General features: G+C 34.8%; 1 annotated feature.

Annotated features, from left to right (window-relative positions):
* Positions 16,912-17,081: an enhancer, noted in NCBI's record as "experimental_76540 CRE fragment used in MPRA reporter constructs". NCBI's record gives its function as "activates a minimal promoter by MPRAs in K562 erythroleukemia cells, with activity observed for both the introgressed and non-introgressed 4:180503479 variant alleles {active_cell/tissue: K562}" and the evidence as "EXISTENCE:reporter gene assay evidence [ECO:0000049][PMID:34662402]".

Genomic DNA, 19,348 nt, shown 5'->3' with positions numbered 1-19,348 from the left:
TCTCATTAAAAAGTAACTTTAAATCCCACTGGGAACACTGTAACTCTTTAGGTTAAAGACAGTGAAGACTATTTTAACTAATAAGAAAGGTATATGCTATTTAACTCAAAAGATACATTTTCTGCCTGCACTTTTTCAATTCAATAATATCATAACTTGAATTAACCGGTACTTTCCTCCTTCTTCTGAGGTAATCCATTATCCATTTCCTTCTCATTGTGAAATTACTTCTTATCTTTCAAGTCTCTTGTTGAACACTACTTGCTTTTCTCAAATTTTTATCTATACAGTACTGTCACCAGAAAATTTGTCATATATTTACATTTAAACTGTGAGCAGATGAAGATTTGCAGTTCCCTGTCCCCACCCCCTGTTAAATAAGGTTAAAAAATAAGACATTATGAAGTAGCATGAGAATTAGAGGGGTCTTGTGTCACAGATGCTAAGGGAAATGTAACTCTAAAAAGAGATGCATGAAATAGCACAGAGATGTCAAACAAGACAAGAACAGGTGGTGGGGAGCAAGCAAAGCTCTGAATTCCCACTTCAGCTCAGTGGGACTTTTCAGTTTTATGCAGCAGATTCCACAGGAGATTCAATTTAAAGAAAGGTTCCCTGGAATTAAAACAAAGGAAGATAAAAGTTTCTAAAATAATCAATCAAAAGGACATTGTAAAAAGAGTCAGAAGATTGGTGTTAAAAAAAATAATGGTATTGCTACACTGTACCTATCTTCATTAGCTTGCTATTTAATTTTGTACCTCAACCGTATGGTAAGGAACTTGAAATAGACTGGTCTGTTTGTTTGTTTGTTTGTTTGTTTTTGAGACAGAGTCTCACTGTGTCGCCCAGTATGGAGGGCAGTGGCAAGATCTCGGCTCACTGCAACCTCCGCCTAACAGATTCAAGCAATTCTCCTGCTTCGGCCTCCCGAGGAGCTGGGACTACAGGCACCTGCCACCACACCTGGCTAATTTTTGTATTTTTAGTAGAGATGGGGTTTCACCATGTTGGCCAGGCTGGTCTTGTACTCCTGACCTCAATTGATCTGCCCACCTGAGTCTCCCAAAGTCCTGGGATTACAGGTGTGAGCCACCACGCCCTGCTGAAACAGACTAGTTTTTAGATGCCTTGCACTCATAATATGATTTTGATTACATTAGAGGCAGTTCGATAGTAGTGGATTATGTGGAATTTAGAGATAGTATACTTGGATAAATACTTGAGTCGAAGACTAACCGGCTGTTTAACATTAGGAATTTTACTTAACCTTTCTGTGTCTTAGTTTTCTTATCCGTAAAATGCTGGTAGTAAAAGAACCCAACTTTAGGCTTATGGAGAGAATTAAATAAGTTAAAATAGAAAAATATTTGAAATATTCTGACATAGTAGGTGATATATAAATGTTTGCTATTCATCATGACCATGTGACTTCAATATTTAGTTTCAATAGAATATCAATATAGCAGTATGAACTCCAATGTTAAGTGATAAAGGAAAGTTGTAACTAATTCTGTGAATCTCTCCCCTGTAAGGTCACTTTCCTTCTGTGTCCTGAGATAAAAAAAAAAAAAATCGTACAGTGCTTTAAAAAAATCACAGAGTGGCACAGCAAGCTGATGTTTTCCTAGCAGGCTGGATCCCATACTAGGCCCTGAATATTCCCAGGCACCGATAAAGCCATCTAGGTTGTTGTCCAAAACACTGAAAGAAACTGGCCCAGCCCTGAGCCAAATGCATTAAACCCTGATGTAAACTCCACATCCTGGCCTTCTGGCTGCAGGCATTCCTAGCTAGAACATCCCTTTGTTCTCTCTGTCCATCTCCAGGATTGCTGCAGCACTCTGTACAAAGGGCCTCTACAAGGGCTTTGGACTGATCTCCCTCTCGTTTAGTGCTTCTTTCTCTGGAATCCCAGCCAGCCTCCTCCCAGGAAGGTTTGGGGCACTTCCTTGTGGGAACCTTGCTACCACTTTTGGAGCAACCTCAGTGGGCAGTTCAGGACAAAACCCTCTAAACTCCAGATGACAGTGATGCTCTCCTATGTGAACCTGATGAGAGAAACCCAGGACTGGAGGGGACAGTAAAGTCTAGGACAAATTGAGCCTATCTTTATTTCCTTACAACCATCCCCACCAAGTGCCTGTGCAGTAAGTGCTCACTCAACATTGCCGGTCAGTTCTTGGAAACTGAGACTTCAAGCAAAATGACTATAAAGAAACCAATTTTCCCATAGGTTAATTGATATGGACTAAAGTTCCTGGTCACAAAAACATTACCAAACTTCTAAACAAACAAACAAACACCAAAATACTTCTAATATGAAACATTGAAATACATGTGTGCTATATACATACATTTAAAAGGGATTAATCAAAACAAGTAAGATAATTATTTACCTGCTTATTTCAGTCCAGGGTATCATCCCACAGCAGGGTGATTCACAGTCACCCACACTCACTCACACTGGGACAATGTACACACACCAGTGAACCAAACATACACAGCTTTGGGATGTGGCAGGAAACCAGAATCCTAGGAGAAAACCCATGAGGATGTAAGGAGAAAATGCAGCGTCCACACAGACAGTGGCTCTGGCTAGAAAGCCATTTTTTTATTATTATTATTTTTTTTATTTTCTTATCAACATTATGACAAAACAACGTTGAACAAAACAATGTTAGTGGAAGACCTGTGGTAAAGCATGTTTGACCACGGACAGTGAGAGTTAAATTACAATTTCCTAAGGGATTGAAATGCACTCACAAATAGATTATTGAACTAGCTGAACCAGAAAGGGCAAAATCAATTTGTTTTTCCTCCCACCATGCTTTTCTAAGCCTACCGTATTGGATTTCTTGTCTCTGGCACTGGAGAAAATATGGGGCAGAAGGCAAAACTTCCAAGTTACTCTCAATCTCATTTTCAGAAATTAACAACCTATCTCAATGTAAATAAAATATAAATCATCATTCCATTAAAAAAGTTCCTCTCCCTCACAGCTCCCTGGCAAGTCAATGCTCGGAGAAACCAGCAGTGGATAAAGAAGCTGTAATTTCCTCTGTCTTTCTTGCTCCATCTCAACCCCACTTCCTCTATCCAGGGTCAGAGCAGCAAAATTTAGGGGAAGAGCATTAGAATTTATTACTTGAATGTTGCCATTACAGTCTGATGTTGAAACCCCCCTTTTCTGGGGCAGATGTCTGAGTACAGGCTCTTTCATGGGATGCTTTCTTGATTATTCTGAGGTGCACCTTTGTGTAATAATGAATTTGGCTGGCATATATCCCAGGTTCCTGGGAGGTAACCTCTAAACTGCTAGAATTTATCAAGCGATTGGAGTGTTTTTGTTATACTTCCTAGGCCGTTATGCTAATGAGGTGATCCATGATTTACGGTAAATAAATGATGGAGGCTGGGGTTGGCCATGGCAGAAAGAACATGTGGTTAGAAGGTCAGGACATTGGAGCTAAGTGATATCCGCCTGGCCTCTGCAGAAGAGAGGAGGCCGGACTGCAGATTGTGTTCAACCAAGTGACTCATGATTCAGTCACTCATGCCTACATAATGAAGGCTCAACAAAATAATCTTGAAATTTACAAGTGTGCTGTAAATTTTTTAGAATATTTGATATTCCATGTTTTCTAAAATTACTTGATCATAAGAACATTTTAAAGAGTAACATCTGATAGGACAATTCCATGGTATACCCGATTGTAAAAAAAGATATATATCTCTTTTTATTCATTCATTGTTAATATTCTTTATGATTTTGCAGAATGCCTTTGTTCAAACTCCTTAAAGACAGCCTTTGGCTAATTGAAGAACTAATTTGTGTCCATTCATAAAAACTTCTTTGGCTCATTTTTAATTTGAAATACTTTGAGTGGCTTTACCATTAAAGATGTTGTTTTTTATTTAATAAAATATAGATACTATAATACTCAGGTGTGTTTTAGCCAGTATAGGGTAGTGTGATATCAAATCTCTAATTTTATTTAGTTTATTATATCAAATTATATTGTATCACTATATTATTAATAAATCATATAATTATACTTTCAAATTTTTTTTAGGGTGGGATAATCTCTTTACTTGGTTGAATGTTAATAACTCACTATTAACTAGAAATTGATAAGCATTTATAGACATGGGACTAACAATCATTCATCTTCCATCCTTTATTGGTGTACACTACTTATGTATAGAGCACTAATTTGGCAACTGTTTTTGAAACTTTAAAAATGTAGTGTCAAACTCATTTCATAGATGAGAAAAGCAGCAGAATTTTAGTCGTCCAAGGTGATTTAACATATCCTGCCTGGGTTAGTAATGTGATATTTCTTCAGTATATGGCTTTCCATCTTAATTAGATTTCTTGAAGTCTAGGAACTATATTTTTTTCACTTTACAATTTTAAATGTTAATGGTAATTGCCAAATTCATATTTCCTGTAGATATAAACAAATGAAAAACTTTTTAACTTCAATACAATTTGACCAATTATTAAATACAAATGATGAATTTTTCCTTTTAACAAAACCCTTTTAACAACACAATGATTAACTTCATCGTAGATATTGACAGCTACTTAAGTTTATGTAGTTTGTACTAAGCAACCAACTAGAAGGATAATATAAAGTTAAAGCTTCAAGGGCTCTTTTAATATATAAGCAGATTTACAGCACTGCTTTAAGGCCTTGAGGCCTGAAACCATCTACTACATTAATCAAGAGTATGCCTAATTCTTAATATTGGCACATACAGTGGTTATACAAGTTCAATTATTTGTAGCAGGTTAAACAATATTTAATATGCTTGGAAACATCAGGATTAATAATAGATATGTTCCTTTAATCTGTTTGGAGGATATGCTCAGTTTTTGTAATAATCCCTTACTACATTCTACAGCTTTCTGTTTGGATTACAAGAAAAAAATGGATGAGAATATATATTTAATATTTATGTGCATGTGGAATCTAAAGAAGGACAATGTTAATCCTTGCTAACAAAAGTCTCAGAATAGTAATGAGTTGTGTGTATATCTCCAATGTTAGAAAATGAAAAAATATGATGTAGAACTATATTTATGGTTTTGCTTAATATCTTTCTTACTCTGGTTTTTATGGATTTTCATTCATATTATTGAGATTTTCATAATTATGATGATCAAATAGGATGAGATATATTTCTCTAAAAATAGTATGGTCTTTTTATTTTGATATTAAGATGAATTTTCAGAAAATGAAGTATTGGTGATTAAAGCTAAATTTTCATTCCAATAGACCTAGAAACTTTTTCCTTTAGAATAGAAACTTTGTTAGCATTTATTAATTATATTAATTATGTTCAGTTTCCTAGTTTTTCAGCCATTTTCCCATCAAGTGTGATGCTATTTTGTGGGAAAAAAAAAAAGTCTTTAATGGAACAAATAAAATCTTCAGAACCATCTGACTCATCAGGAATTGAAAATACCAAGGTTTTTCAATTCTTCCAGCATGGTAGGATATATTCACTATGGGTTATCTTTCCTACTGATTACAATGAAGAACTAAATAAAGTACAAAAAAAGCAATTATCTGAAGAGTTTAAAAAATAAGTAAGAACAAGTAGATCACAGAAGGAAGTCAAAATCAGAGGAAGTAACCTGTAAAGGAATGTGTTTCCTCTTTATTTTTATTATTTTATACTCATTGTTCTTATGGTGTGCCCCAAAGGCAGGTTCCAGTGGTACAAGTGCACTCAAGAGAAGTAGAAAAATAAAATCTAATGGAACTGGATAAAGAAAACTGTGTGGGCCAGAGAGTGTCACAGAATATCTTAGAGGGGAGACAACAAGAAAAGAAGAGTTCTCAATTTTGTGCATGAGTGGAAACTAATCTGGGGCTCATTTATGACATCTACATATGTGGGATGGACGTGCTGCAACATAGCAAAGACCCTGAAAAGCTGGGATTGAAACTAGCATTTAAAGAAGGCAAACTAGCCTCATGGCCTGAAACCAGTGAGTTTGATTTTCTGCAAAACTAAAGAAAATAAACACTCTCTAGATTATAACAGTATTCATAATCTAAACATAACATTCAAAATGTCACTGATATAATCCAAAATTACTAAGTTCACAAGGAACCAGGAAAATATGGCCAATTCTCAAGCAAAGTGAAAATCAACAAATACTAATGTAGAAATGACCTGGACATTGAAATGATCAAATAAAGACTTTTAATCATCTAGTATAATTGTCCTCCATAAGAAAAAGATAAACATACTTAAATATAAATGGAAAGACAGAAGTTCTTAGCATTGAAATAAAAAAGAATCAAAAGAACATTTTAGGACAAGGAAAAGGAATAGTTGTAAAATAAAATCATTATATGGGCTTAATAGCACAATGAAGATGACAGAAGATGGTTAAGTGAATCTGAAGATAAATCAATAACATTTATAAATCCTGAAGGTCAGAGAGAAAAAAAAATTTAAAACAAAAATAAACAGAGCTCCTGGCCTAATATCAAGAGATATAATATATATTCCATCAAAGCACTAGAAGGATAGACAATAGAAATAGGAAAATAAAAATATTTGACAAAATAATAGAGTTTTCAAAATTTGAGAAGAAAAATATAAATTTACGGGTTCAAAAATCTTGTGAAACCTCAAACAAGATGAACTTAAGGAAGCCAACCAAGACCCATCATAGCCACATTTCTAAAAGTCAAAGGGGGGAGAAAACGTGAAGGTAGGTAGGGAAAAATAGTATTTTATATATATGAGAAAAACTACATAAATAGCAGGTCTTACCAGAAACTACAAAGGCCAGAATATAGTAGAAGAGCATCTTGAAAGTGCTGAAGGAAGAGAGCTGTCAACCTAAATCTCTGTATTCAGCAAAATTAAATTTCAGAAATAAAGACAATATCAAAACATTATAAATAAAAGAAGACTGGAAAAATATGTTGTCAGAAGTCCTACCCTAAAGGAATGCTAAAGAAATATCTTTAGACTAAAGGAAGAAAGAAATTTGGATCTTCAGAATTGAAAGAATAGTAACAAAAATGGCAGCTGTCTGGATAAATTATTTGAAAGATAATTGTTGAAAGCAAAAATTTATATTATGACAGTATTTTCTGGTAGATACATATAAGTAATATATTGGATATATATATGTATAATAAATAATATATACATGTATTTATGACCACTATGGCAACCAACTAGAATGTGAAAATTTAGGCATTATATTCTGTAGAGGAACCATGAAAATAATATAAAGATATGTCACTTTAAAAAGTTAATTCATAAATAAAAATAGAACACAAAAATATCCAAGTAAATATAAAGAATGCAGGAAAGAGAGAATAGAAGAATAAAAGTTAAAAAGGACAAAGAAAAAAATTAAAATATGGTAGACCTAAACATAGCCAGATGGATATTTACATTAAATATAATTGGACTGAAGATTTCTGGTTCTAGCTAAGATGAAATCAATACATACCATGCTATGTCTCCCATTAATTATAACTAAAATCCCTGAACAGAAAATGTAAAACCTGATGACTCTTAAAATAAATAATTCCAGGCAGGCCGAGGAGGGTAATAGAATCTAAAAGAACAACAACACAGCAGTGAATTTTCTAGTCCGTTTCCCTTTCCTATCTTCTGACTAAGTGTCAGGGTGGTATATCTTAATTCACTTTGTGTGGCCGTGACAGAATACCTGAGACTAGGTAATTTATAAAAAGCAGAGATTTATATCTTATAGTTCTGGAGGCTGGGAAGTCCAAGGGCAAGGTTCCCACATCCTGCAAAGGCCTTCTTGTTGTGTTATACCTTGGGGCAAGGCAAAGGGTAAGTGAGAATACTTGCAAGAGAAGTGAAGGTGGGTGAACTCTTCCTTTTATCAGGAACCTACTCTCAAGATAACCACCCTACTTCAGATCATGGCATTAATCCATTCATGAGGGCAGAGCCCTCACAACATAAGCACCTCTTAAAGGTTCCACCTTTCAACACTGTTGCATTGGGGATTGTTTCCAACACATGAACTTTGAAAGATACATTCAAACCATAGCACAGGCTTAATATCAGGATGCTTAATGAGCATGACCAATAGAGACTCTCCACTCTGTCCCTCTGTGTATGTCTCTTTCTCTTTTTCTCTCCTTCCTAGAAATGGAAAGGTTGAGGTGTTGTTAAAGAAGAGGAGCTTGAGAAGGTGTAGTGGGTTGAATAGTGTTCTATTCAAATTCATGGAACACCGGCATCTCAGATTGTGATATGATTTGGAGATAGAGCCCTTACAGTTGTAATTAGTGATAGTGAAATGAGTTCATACTTGACTACAGCGGGCCCTGAATCCAATGACAAGTGCCCTTATAAGAAGAGAAAAGGAGGCAGAGAGATTTTTTACGTTCAGAAATGTATCTGTGGAAGCCCAGGGGGAGGCAGAACCCCCACTCCCACCCAGCACTAACAGGGAGACTCTGTCCCATCCTGTTGTCAATGGAGGCTGAGCAGAGAACCTTGCAGACATCTCCTTTCTTCTGCTAAAGTGAAGTCAGAGGCACTCAACTAAAACAAAGGGTTTAAATAAGATCCAGACAAGTTTTGATTGAAGATCACTCACTTCAAGAACAAAGAAGATTTCCAACTGACTGAAAAAGGCAATTAATAAATGCCAACATTGAGGTAATGGAAGGCTAGAATTATCTGACAGAAAGAGCTTCAACTAGTAATTAAAACAAAAGAATTTAAACAAAAATAGCATGCACCAACAAAGCAATAGAAAGTGTCAACAAAGATTTAGAAGATATAAAACAGATTTCAATGGAAATCTTAGAACTGAAAAATAATGGGTGAGCTTAACAGAAAAATAGAGGAAACAGAGTGAATATTCAGTGGACCAGAAGATAGAACTATAGTAATTATCCAATCTGAGCAACAGAAAGAAAATAGACCAAAAAATTAAAAAAAAATAGAGCTTCAGATTACTGTGCATCTACAACAAAAGATCTAATATTTGTGTGATATGAAGTCCTGGAAGGGGAGGACAAAGTGGGTAAGTTAATAAGTGCTTGAAAAAATAATGGCTCAACAAATGTTTGAAAAAACATAAACCTACAGATTAAAGACACAGAGTGACTTCCATCATAAACCACTCCCAACACACACACAAAGCACACACACTTATCACAATATATATTGTTGTCAAGTTTCTGAAAAGAAAAATCTTAAAAGCAAAGAGAATAAAATGACAAATCACTACAAGAAAGATAATTTATATGACAGTGAATTTTGATTAGAAGACTTGGAGCTCAGGAGAAAGTGGCACGTTTTTCATGTGTAAACAGAAAGTAACTGTTAAAGCAGAATCCTCTATCCAGCATGAATATTTTTCATAAATAAAAGGAATATTTTTCAGCATTATAATATAAAGGAAAACTAAGAGAATTTATCACCAGTAGACTGATATTTTTTTAAAAAGAATGGCTAATGGAAATTCACTAAACAGAGGAGAAATTATAAAAAGAGAAATCTTTGACTATGAGGAAGAAAAAAGAATATAATAAGCAGAATTATGGGTATATATGATATTCTTTCCTTCTCTCAAGTTTTCTAATTTAAATTTAGTGGTTGAACCAATTTTTAACACTAATTCATTTTAAAATGTTATGTAGAAGAAATGTTTAAAATGATTGTAAAAGAGGAAAGTATCAGAACATAAAGAAAGGTAAGTTTTCTACATCCCACTTAAGTTGGTAAAATGATGACATCGGTCACTGGTCATGTTATGTATATAGAATATAATACCTAAAAGAACCACTAAGACAGGATATACAAAGTGTATATAACAAACAGTATAGGCAATCTAAATTGAATTCTAAAAATTGTTCACTTAACCCACAGGAAAGCAGGAGAAAAAAAAAACAGAAACAAAAAACAAACAGAACAAAAATAATAATAAATTGTAGACTTTAATAGTAAATATCTGTAATTGCATTATATAGTCAAAATATACCAATTAAAATGAAGAGATACATGAAGTTGATTAAAATATATTTTCCAACAAACACTGTCCACAAGCAGGTGGATAGTAAAAAAATGAGAATGATATATCATTCAAGCCTGAATCAACAGCAAAGAGGAGTGCCTGTATTAACGTCAGAGAAAGTAGGCTTCAAGGGAAAGAAAATTACCAGTGATAGAAATGGACATTGTATAATAAAAATATAAATCCACCACATAGACATAGAAATCTTAAATGTGTATAAATCAAATAACAGAGCTATAAAATTTACAAGAGAAAACTGACAGAACTGAAAGGAGAAATAGACAAATGAATAATTATTGTTGGAGACTGAAACTTCTTTTTCTTAACAATTAACTGAACTAGACAGGAAATTAGAAAGAATATAGAACAATCCAACAATACCATCCATCTACAGGACCAAATCAACGTCTTAAAATGTTTCACTCAAAATACTTACTCTTTTCAAATGGCCATGGACAATATAGCAAGATAGAACATATCTATCTCTGTGAAACAAACTAATTTAATTTAAAATAACCGAAACCACACGGAATGTGTTCTTGGATCACAATGGAATCAAAGTATAAATTAATAATCAAAATAAAGTGGGAAAATTTCCAAGTGCTTAGAAATAAAATAACACACTTCTAAAGAAACCATGGCTCAAAAAGAAAGTCTCAAGGTCAATATACAAAATTATATTTAACTAAGTAGATGTATGAATATTAAATATCAAAATTTGTGGAACATACCTCTAGCATGAATAGAAAAGAGAGACATGACACAAATTAAAATAATCAGTAATAGGCTATTACTACAGACCCTGAAGACATCCCAAAAATAATAAGGGAATAGCAATACAACTATACACACATCAATTGGACAACTTGAAAAGTGTGGGCAAATTCTTCCAAAACACAAACCACAACTCACCCAAAATGAAATAGATTATTTGAGTAGCCCTATATCTATTAAGGAAAATAAATTTATAACTTAAATATTCCCTCAAAAGCAATCTTCAGGCCCATAGGGTTTCATTGCTAGTATATAGGAAGAAGAAATAAATATTATTTAGGTAGCTCTGTCAATATGAAATATTAAGTATAAACCTAACAAAATATGTTCAGGGTCTATATCCTAAAACTAGAAATCATCAATAGAAGAAATTTTAAAAGACAAAAACAAACAGAGAGATATACTATGTTCTTTGCTTGGATAACTAGGTATCAGTGGCAATTCTTCACATAGTAATATATTGTTAAAAGCCATCTCAATCATTTTTTTCTGAAGCTTTTTTTGTAGAAATTTACAAGATGATTTTTAAAATTTATATAGAAAGTCGATGAACAGAAATGGCCAAAATGATCTGGAAAACACACACACACACAACACACACACACACACACACACACACACAGCTGAAGACTCAAGCTACCTGATTGCAAGACTTACTTGGAAGCTACAGGAAGCAAGACAATGTGATATTGAAGAAAGAATAAGCAGATACACCAATGGAACTGGATAGAGAATGCAGAAATAGATCCGTAGATATATCAAGTAATTTTTTACCAAGGTGCAAACTCATTTACAAGGAGAAATGATAGATTTTTCACCAAATGTTGCTGGAGCTGTTTACATTCATATGCAAACATATTTAAGTGAATCTCAATTCCTACCTTGAACTGTATATAAAAATAAACTCAAAGGTGATTATAGAACAATGTAAGACCTCATATTATACAACTTCTAAAAGAAAATATAGAAGAAAATGCACCCTCCAGTTTGCAGATTTTATAGATACAATAGCAACAGCATTTATATAGTGTACATATGTACCTCATTGACATTAAAATGTTTAGTTCTAGAAAAAAACGGTTAAAGACAATGAAAAGGCAAACTTTACTGGAAGAACACATTTGCAAAACCCACATAAGGCCAAAAAAATAAAAAGCTTGTATTCAGAATATGTGTTTTTAAAGCAAAAGTTAAAAGAAAACTTCCTAATACAAAATGAACAAAATATTTGAATACCAAAATCAATATACAAATGGCAAATAATACATGAAAAATGGTCAACATTACTAGTCATTAGAAATAAGAAAAATGAAAGCTAAAACCAAGAAATACCACTGTACATTTATTAGAATGATAAATTGTAATGGATAGATGAAGATAATTATAGACAGATAGATGAAAGCAGAAAGATAGATGATAGGTAGATAGATAGACAGATAGATAGATAGACAGATAGATAGATAGACAGATAGATTGCTATAACAAGTAACCCCCAAGATGTGGAGCACCTAGAGGTCTATATATTGTTGATGGGAATAAAAAGTGATACAGACTGGAAAATAGTTTGGCAATTGCTTATGAAACATTAGAAACCATTCAATATTCCCACTCACAGATATTTATACAGGAGAAAAATACCCATGTTCACACAATATTTACATAGCAATTGCTATGGTTTGCATGTTTGTCTCCTCCAAACCTCATATTGAAATTTGATCCCTACTATTGAAAATGGGGACTAATGGGAGGTGTTTGGGTTGTGGGGGTGGCTTCCTCTTGAATAGTTTACTGCCCTTCCTTGGGGATGAATCAGCTCTCATTCTGTTAGTTTCCTGAGAGCTGGCTGTTTTAAAGGACCTGGTACTTCCCGCTCTCTGTCTTGCTTCCTCTGTCACCATGAGATCTGCACACGCCACCGCGCTCCCTTTCGCCTTCCGCAGCCTCGAGTGGAAGCAGCCTGAGGCCCTCACCAGATGCAGAAGTCCAATCTTGAACTTTTTAGCCGTCAGAATTGTAAGCCAAATAAACCTTTTTAAAAATAAATAAAGTACCTAGCCTCCATTATTCCTTTAGAGCAACACAAAATAACTGAGAAAAGAATTGTATTCGTCTTCTCAGGCTGCCATAACAAAGTACCACAGACTGGATAGCTCAAACAGCAGTATATTTATTATTAATTTTTTTTTTTTTTACAGTTCTGGAGGCTAGAAGTGCAATATCGAGGTGCTGTCAGGGTTGATTTTTTTTAGTGAGTCCTCTCTTCCTGGCTAGATGGCCTCTCCTCTTGCTGAGAGAGTGCATGTGAGAGACAGAAAGAGAGAGAGAGAGAGACAGAGAGAGATCAAGTGTCTTTTCCTCTCCTTACAAGAGCACTAGTAAAATAATCAAATAACCTGTAACCACCTATATAACCTGGTTCAGCCTTATCTCTTAAAAGCTTCCAACTCTGAACATAGTCACGTTAGGGGTGAAGGCTTCAGCATATGAATTGAGAGAGGAGGACATAATCCACCATAATCCACCACAGGAATGCTGATTACAGAAGCTTTATGCGTAATTTTGTAATAACTAGGAACCGAGTCTTCTTCAACTGGTGAATCAAGTGTGGTACTTTCATACAATGGAGCATTATTCAGTACCACAGAGGAAAGAACCACTGAAATAACATGACAGATCTCAAATGTTATGCTAAGTGAAAACAGTAACAGCAAAATTCAGAAGGTTGTATATAGCAACTCACGGAAATACAGAGTAGAATGGTGGTTCCCAGAGGTGGGACAGTGGACAGGGAAGGGGAGATATTAGTCCAAGGGTGCAAAGTTTTGATTAAACAAGAAGAATAGGTCGGGTGTGGTGGCTCACACCTGTAATCCCAGCACTTTGGGAGGCCGAGGCTGGCGGATCACGAGGTCAGGGGTTTGAGACCAGCCTGGCCAATATGGTGAAACCCTGTCTATACTAAAAATACAAAAATTAGCCAGGCATGGTGGCACGTGCCTGTAGTACTTGGGAGGCTGAGGCAAGAGAATCACTTCAACCCAGAAGGCAGAGGCTGCAGTGAGCCGAGGTCGCACCACTGCACTCCAGCCTGGGTGACAGAGCGAGAGTGTGTCTCAAAAAAAAAAAAAAAAAAAAAAAAACAAGAGAAATAAAAATTTTAGTGACCTATTTCACAGCATGATGACTATAATCAATAATAAAGTCTATTTTAAAATCACTAAAAAAGAAGATTTTTAAATGTTCTCACCACAAATATATAAGTATGAGATAATATATGTAATAATTAGCTTGATTTAATCATTTCACTATATATACATATATAATGATATCTCATTGTACCCCATTCACATATAATATAATTATTGTCTATTAAAATAAGAAAAAGATTTTTTTAAAGGCTATATTTGCCATGATCCACTTTATATGATATTCTGTAAAAGAATTTTTAAAGTTGTAGATATAAAAAGTATGTCAAAAGTTGCCAGGAGCTAGTGTTGGGGAGGCTGGAATTTCTAGGGTGAGGATACTGCTTTATACTTTGGTTTTGGTAGTGGCTTCATAACTCTATAAATTTCTCAAAACTCATAGAGCTGTATCCCCCAAATAGTATTTCTGTGTATATTATAAATAAATAAATTGAAAACTTTAAAAAAATGTGTGTAGTAAACACAAATACACAAAATCAAAACCAACAATTTGATCCAGATGAATTTCCTTGTAGTTCAGTCCATATTTAATATTTATGTAAGAACAATATATTACAGCTGAGTAAAAGCAGTAAAGAGAATGGGAATCTATTGGATTCACACAAACTGTTAAGTACTTAAAATCAATTGTAAAATCTAACCATCCTAAATATCTTATAAATTTGTCTGTTCTTACTTGCATTTAAAAGAAGAGGAAACAATACTGAGAAATTAGTTATGTCAAAAGATCCTGAAGTAGAAACCACCAGAGTGGAGCAAGAAAAAGAAAGGCTTTTCTCCCTGTTTGCAAGAGTTTCAGTCTGAAGATGAGACATTCTGCCTTCTGGCAGTTAGGAGAGGTTTTATGCATTACAAGTACTCAGGCCGATCAAGAGAAAAAAATCGAAAAACAAAGAAACAGGACAATGATGCGTGGTTTAAGGCAAAATTTCAGCGATCAGTTTTCAGAAGCAGAAGCAAGTCTGGCGAAAGTGCATTCTGGGGCTCTAAACTTAACAAAGGAATGGGAAGTTTAAGAATGTCAACGTGATTACACTGGAAATTTGAGGACTGAGCATGAAAAATTAGGCTGGGGCTTACCCTTGTTAGTGTAGGCCTTTTAACCCTTTGCAGTTAACATCTGTAATATACAGTTAAAAATAAAGCTAGTATAGGTATGGCGCTTCTGGTATTTGTACCCAGCTTAGAACAATTCAAATATACCCTGTACATCTCACCATGATGTCACTTAAACTCTAATATTTAAAAAAACAGTAAAAATTATTTACAGAAACAAAATTATCACTAACTTATATAACTCTATGTGAATTCACTGCCTCATGTTGAAATTGGAATTACTATTGTTGTTAATTTCCTGAGTATCTAATTTTACTTGGATTTAGTGTTCTCATTGAAGGCATTCGGAACTTAGGTTTAGACAACAGTTTTGTGTAGACCAGAGGTTGGTTAAGTATGGCAAGGGCCAAATCTGTTTATCACCTGTTTTTATAAATGAAGTGTTATTAAAGCAAGCCACACACAAGTATTCACATGTTGCTATGGTTGCTTTTGTGCTACCATGGCTGAGTTGAGTAGTTGCAACGAGACAATATGGCCTGCAATGTCTACAATATTCACTCTTATGCCATTTACAGAAAGAGTTTGCCAAACCCTGGGGTAGACTAAAGGGATATTGTTCTTATTACTCAAAACTTCATAATAAACCACTGAAAGTTTAATATATTAGAATAACAACCATTTATTGTATTTTATAATTTCCTGGGTCAGAAATTCCCATTGGGTTCAGTTGGCTGAATCTTCTGCTTCATGTGATGTTGACTGAGTCACTGGGCATTTAGCTGAAGACAGGTCTGCAGGACCCGGGACGTTTCCCACATGCCTGCCCTGTGAGGGGCAGTTGAAAGGCTGTATTCATCTGGGCTCCTCTCTGTCTTCCGGTATTCAGATGCATTCTTTAGCAGGATGATTAGACGTCTTACATGGTGGCTTGGCACCCTTAGAGAGCAAGACAGAAACTCCCAGTTCTCTTAAATAAGGGTAGCAGAACTGACCATAGTATTATTTCTACAGTGTGTGACATTTGTCCAACAGTCACAGGTCAGTTCTGGTTGGAACAAAGGTAGAATAGATCTGTATCTTAAAAGGAAGCGTGTCCAGGAAACTGCAGCTATCTTTAATCCACCATTAAATTGATGCTAAATATTTCATTGTAATATTTGCTTTTAGGAAGTGAGAACAAACCAGAAAAAGTTTCTGATCTAATTTGAAAAACAGTATAATAGCTAAAAAAAATCAGCTAGAAAAATCAAAAGCTAATGGTAATAAAACACTGGATTTCCAAAATTTCCATACTTCTAGCATTATTAAAGTAACATGAAAAAACTGTTCACCACATTATTTAAATACTTAATATTTTTTATTTATTTTACCAAGAATATTTCATTATATATTTTACTGTGAAACACTTGAATCAAAGCTCATTCTGTTAAGATTTTTTGAACATATATGTTGTGATTATTGCAACATGCTGGGTGCTTCAAACACTAGAAGAGTACACTGTATAAAGGGCTGTGGGAATTGCCAAATTCGTCTTTACTGCTTGTTATATTTGGTATTGGCATTGGGCTTAGAACAGAAGGTAACTAAATCCATGTGTTTGCTTTAAAATTATTTCCTTCTTTTTCTTCACAGTGAAATGAAAACAACTATATTCCTGTCTCCTTAATCTTTAATATGGGGCAAAACTTATGCTAATCTTTCTGATGCATCTGTATACTTTCAAAAGGAAAAAAAAAAACCCTAGAATTAAACGTTGCTAAGACACAAACTCCACATTTCTTTTTAGTAGTGCCCATACTCTATATCCTGAGTCATGTCATAAACATGGCATTGAAAGAATTAAATAATGTGGAGACATTGAGTGATGTGTTGAGAAATAATGTAGCACAGCTTCTACAAGCCTTAATGAGGCTATCGGTGCACATTCCTGGGGTGGCTTGCTGAAAATGTACTGCTCTATGTCTGTAGCACTGTCCTTTTCATATAAAGTAGAAGCAAATGAAGAGTTGCTGCTCCATAAAGCTTAATATCCAAGTAAGGCAATCCCAGGTCTATTTCAGACCTTACATTCAAGGTGATCTCTGGGAATTGTTGATTGAATAACTATGGCATGTTGTTCATCATTTTTATTAATAATGGAGAAGTTACCTACGTGGCATCAGTAGTTTTAAGTTGTAAGTTGCATTAAAACAGTATGTTTTAAAATAACCATAAAATTTTGTTATGTACTCGTTCAAATTATTTTCTGAAATGTGATTTTTCCTCTCATTATTCATAAACACTGACATCAACAAATTTGAAGGGTCTTTGCATTATTCCTTTAAAACAGTGAAATGTCCCCTCTAAAATTCATGTTTAAACAATTTCCAATGTGGCAGTATGGAGAGGTAGGTCCGCTAAGAGATAATTGGATGATGAGGCTTCTGCCCTTGTGAATAGATTAACCCATTTATGGATTAATCAGTTAGTGGATTAATGGACTGTCATGGGGCGGAAACTGGTGGCTTTATAAGAAAAGGAAGAGAGCACATTGATACATGAGCACACTCAGCCCCCTCATGTGATGCTCTGCACCACCTCAGGATTCTGGAAAGAGTGCCCACCAGCAAGAAAACACTCATCAGATTCAGCCCCTTGACTTTGAACTTCCCAGCCTCCAGAAGAGAAAAAAATAAATTTTCTATCCTTATAAGTTACTTGGTTTCAGGTATTCTGTTGTAAGCAACAGGAAGTGAGCTAAGACAGAGGATAACAGCCGGGCACAGTGGCTTACACCTGTAATCCCAGCACTTTGGGAGGCTGAGGCAGGCAAATCCCCTGAGGTCAGGAGTTCAAGGCCAGCCTAGCCAACATGGAGAAACCCTGTCTCTACTAAAAATACAAAAATTAGCCAGGTGTGGTGGCACCTGCCCGTAATCCCAGCTACTTAGGAGGCGAGGCAGGAGAATCGCTTGAACCTGGGAGGTTGAAGTTGCAGTGACCCGAGATCATGCCACTGCACTGCTGCCTGGACAACAAAGTGAGACTCTGTCTTTAAAAAGAAATAATAAATAAAAAAAAAATAAAAATAAAAAGACAGAAGATAACAATACATTTATGCAATCTGTCATAGCAGTCTTTGGTGCCAGCTAAATTTTCTCCGTAGTTCTTATTTGAGCTAATTTTATATAGAAATATTTCAGAAGAACATGAGTTTTTTTTCAAGAAAATGATACTGTATATTCAATATATAGCTGTTAAATATCTAAATATATCATTTCTTTATGTGCAGTTTCTTTGATATATTTACTAAGGATATGTGAAGAAAATGAAAAAAATAATTATACCATGTATATTGGGTAGACATAATGGCTATGGAATAAAACAGCATGCTGAGGGGAAAGTATAATGATTATGAAGGCATTCCTAGGGAAGGGGGATGGTTATGTATGAACAGAATGCAGAATAAAGTGAGAAAAGTCCATGGAAAAATCTCATGTAAGTGTACTGCAGACAGAGGAAAGAACAGGTACAAATTCCTGAAATAAGCATAAGCATGACTTCAAGGAAGGCCACTAAGACTAAATAAGAGGACATAAATTGGGATTGATGGAAATGTTCATGGCAAAATACACAGATATCAGGTATTGTTTCATGCCTGATACCTTGTACAAGTTACTCTAAAATTTTAGTTGCCTAAAAAACCACCATTTATTATTTTATGTGGGTCTTTGGGCCTAATTCAATCCATCTCTGCTGGGCTTGATTACACATCTACTGTCACGTGGTGGTAACTCAGCTAGGGGACAGTTTAGGATGGCCTCCAATGGGATGGCTCTTCTATGCCATGTGGTTTCTCATCCTGCAGTACATAGCTCAGGTCTGTACTTGTAACAGAGGTAAGGGTCCAAAAGACAGTAAAACATGCAAGACTTCTCGTATTCTAGGTGTGAAACTGAGAGTCCATTCTGCTGCCTGCCTTATATTGAGGGAAGCAGGTCATAAGTTCAACCCAGTTTTTATGGGGTAAAGAAACAGACTCCATATTTTATTATTGGGAAGATTTGCAAAATCTATTGCAAAGGAAGAGCTAAAGTGCTGAAAATATTTGGGCAACCAATCTACCAAAGGAGGAGCCGATTCATTAAGATCTTACATATCATGAGATGAATTATTTTTTAAATTCTGTACATAATGAGAAATTATTATGGTTTTGAATAAACCAAGGAATAATTTCATTTCTGTTTTAGAAAAGTTACTCTTTTGTATTGGGAGAGAA

Source organism: Homo sapiens, chromosome 4 (assembly GCF_000001405.40).
Source record: "Homo sapiens chromosome 4, GRCh38.p14 Primary Assembly".
NCBI lineage: Eukaryota > Metazoa > Chordata > Mammalia > Primates > Hominidae > Homo > Homo sapiens.
Note: the sequence above shows the minus strand (reverse complement) of the source record. Positions and strands in the feature narration are given on the sequence as shown.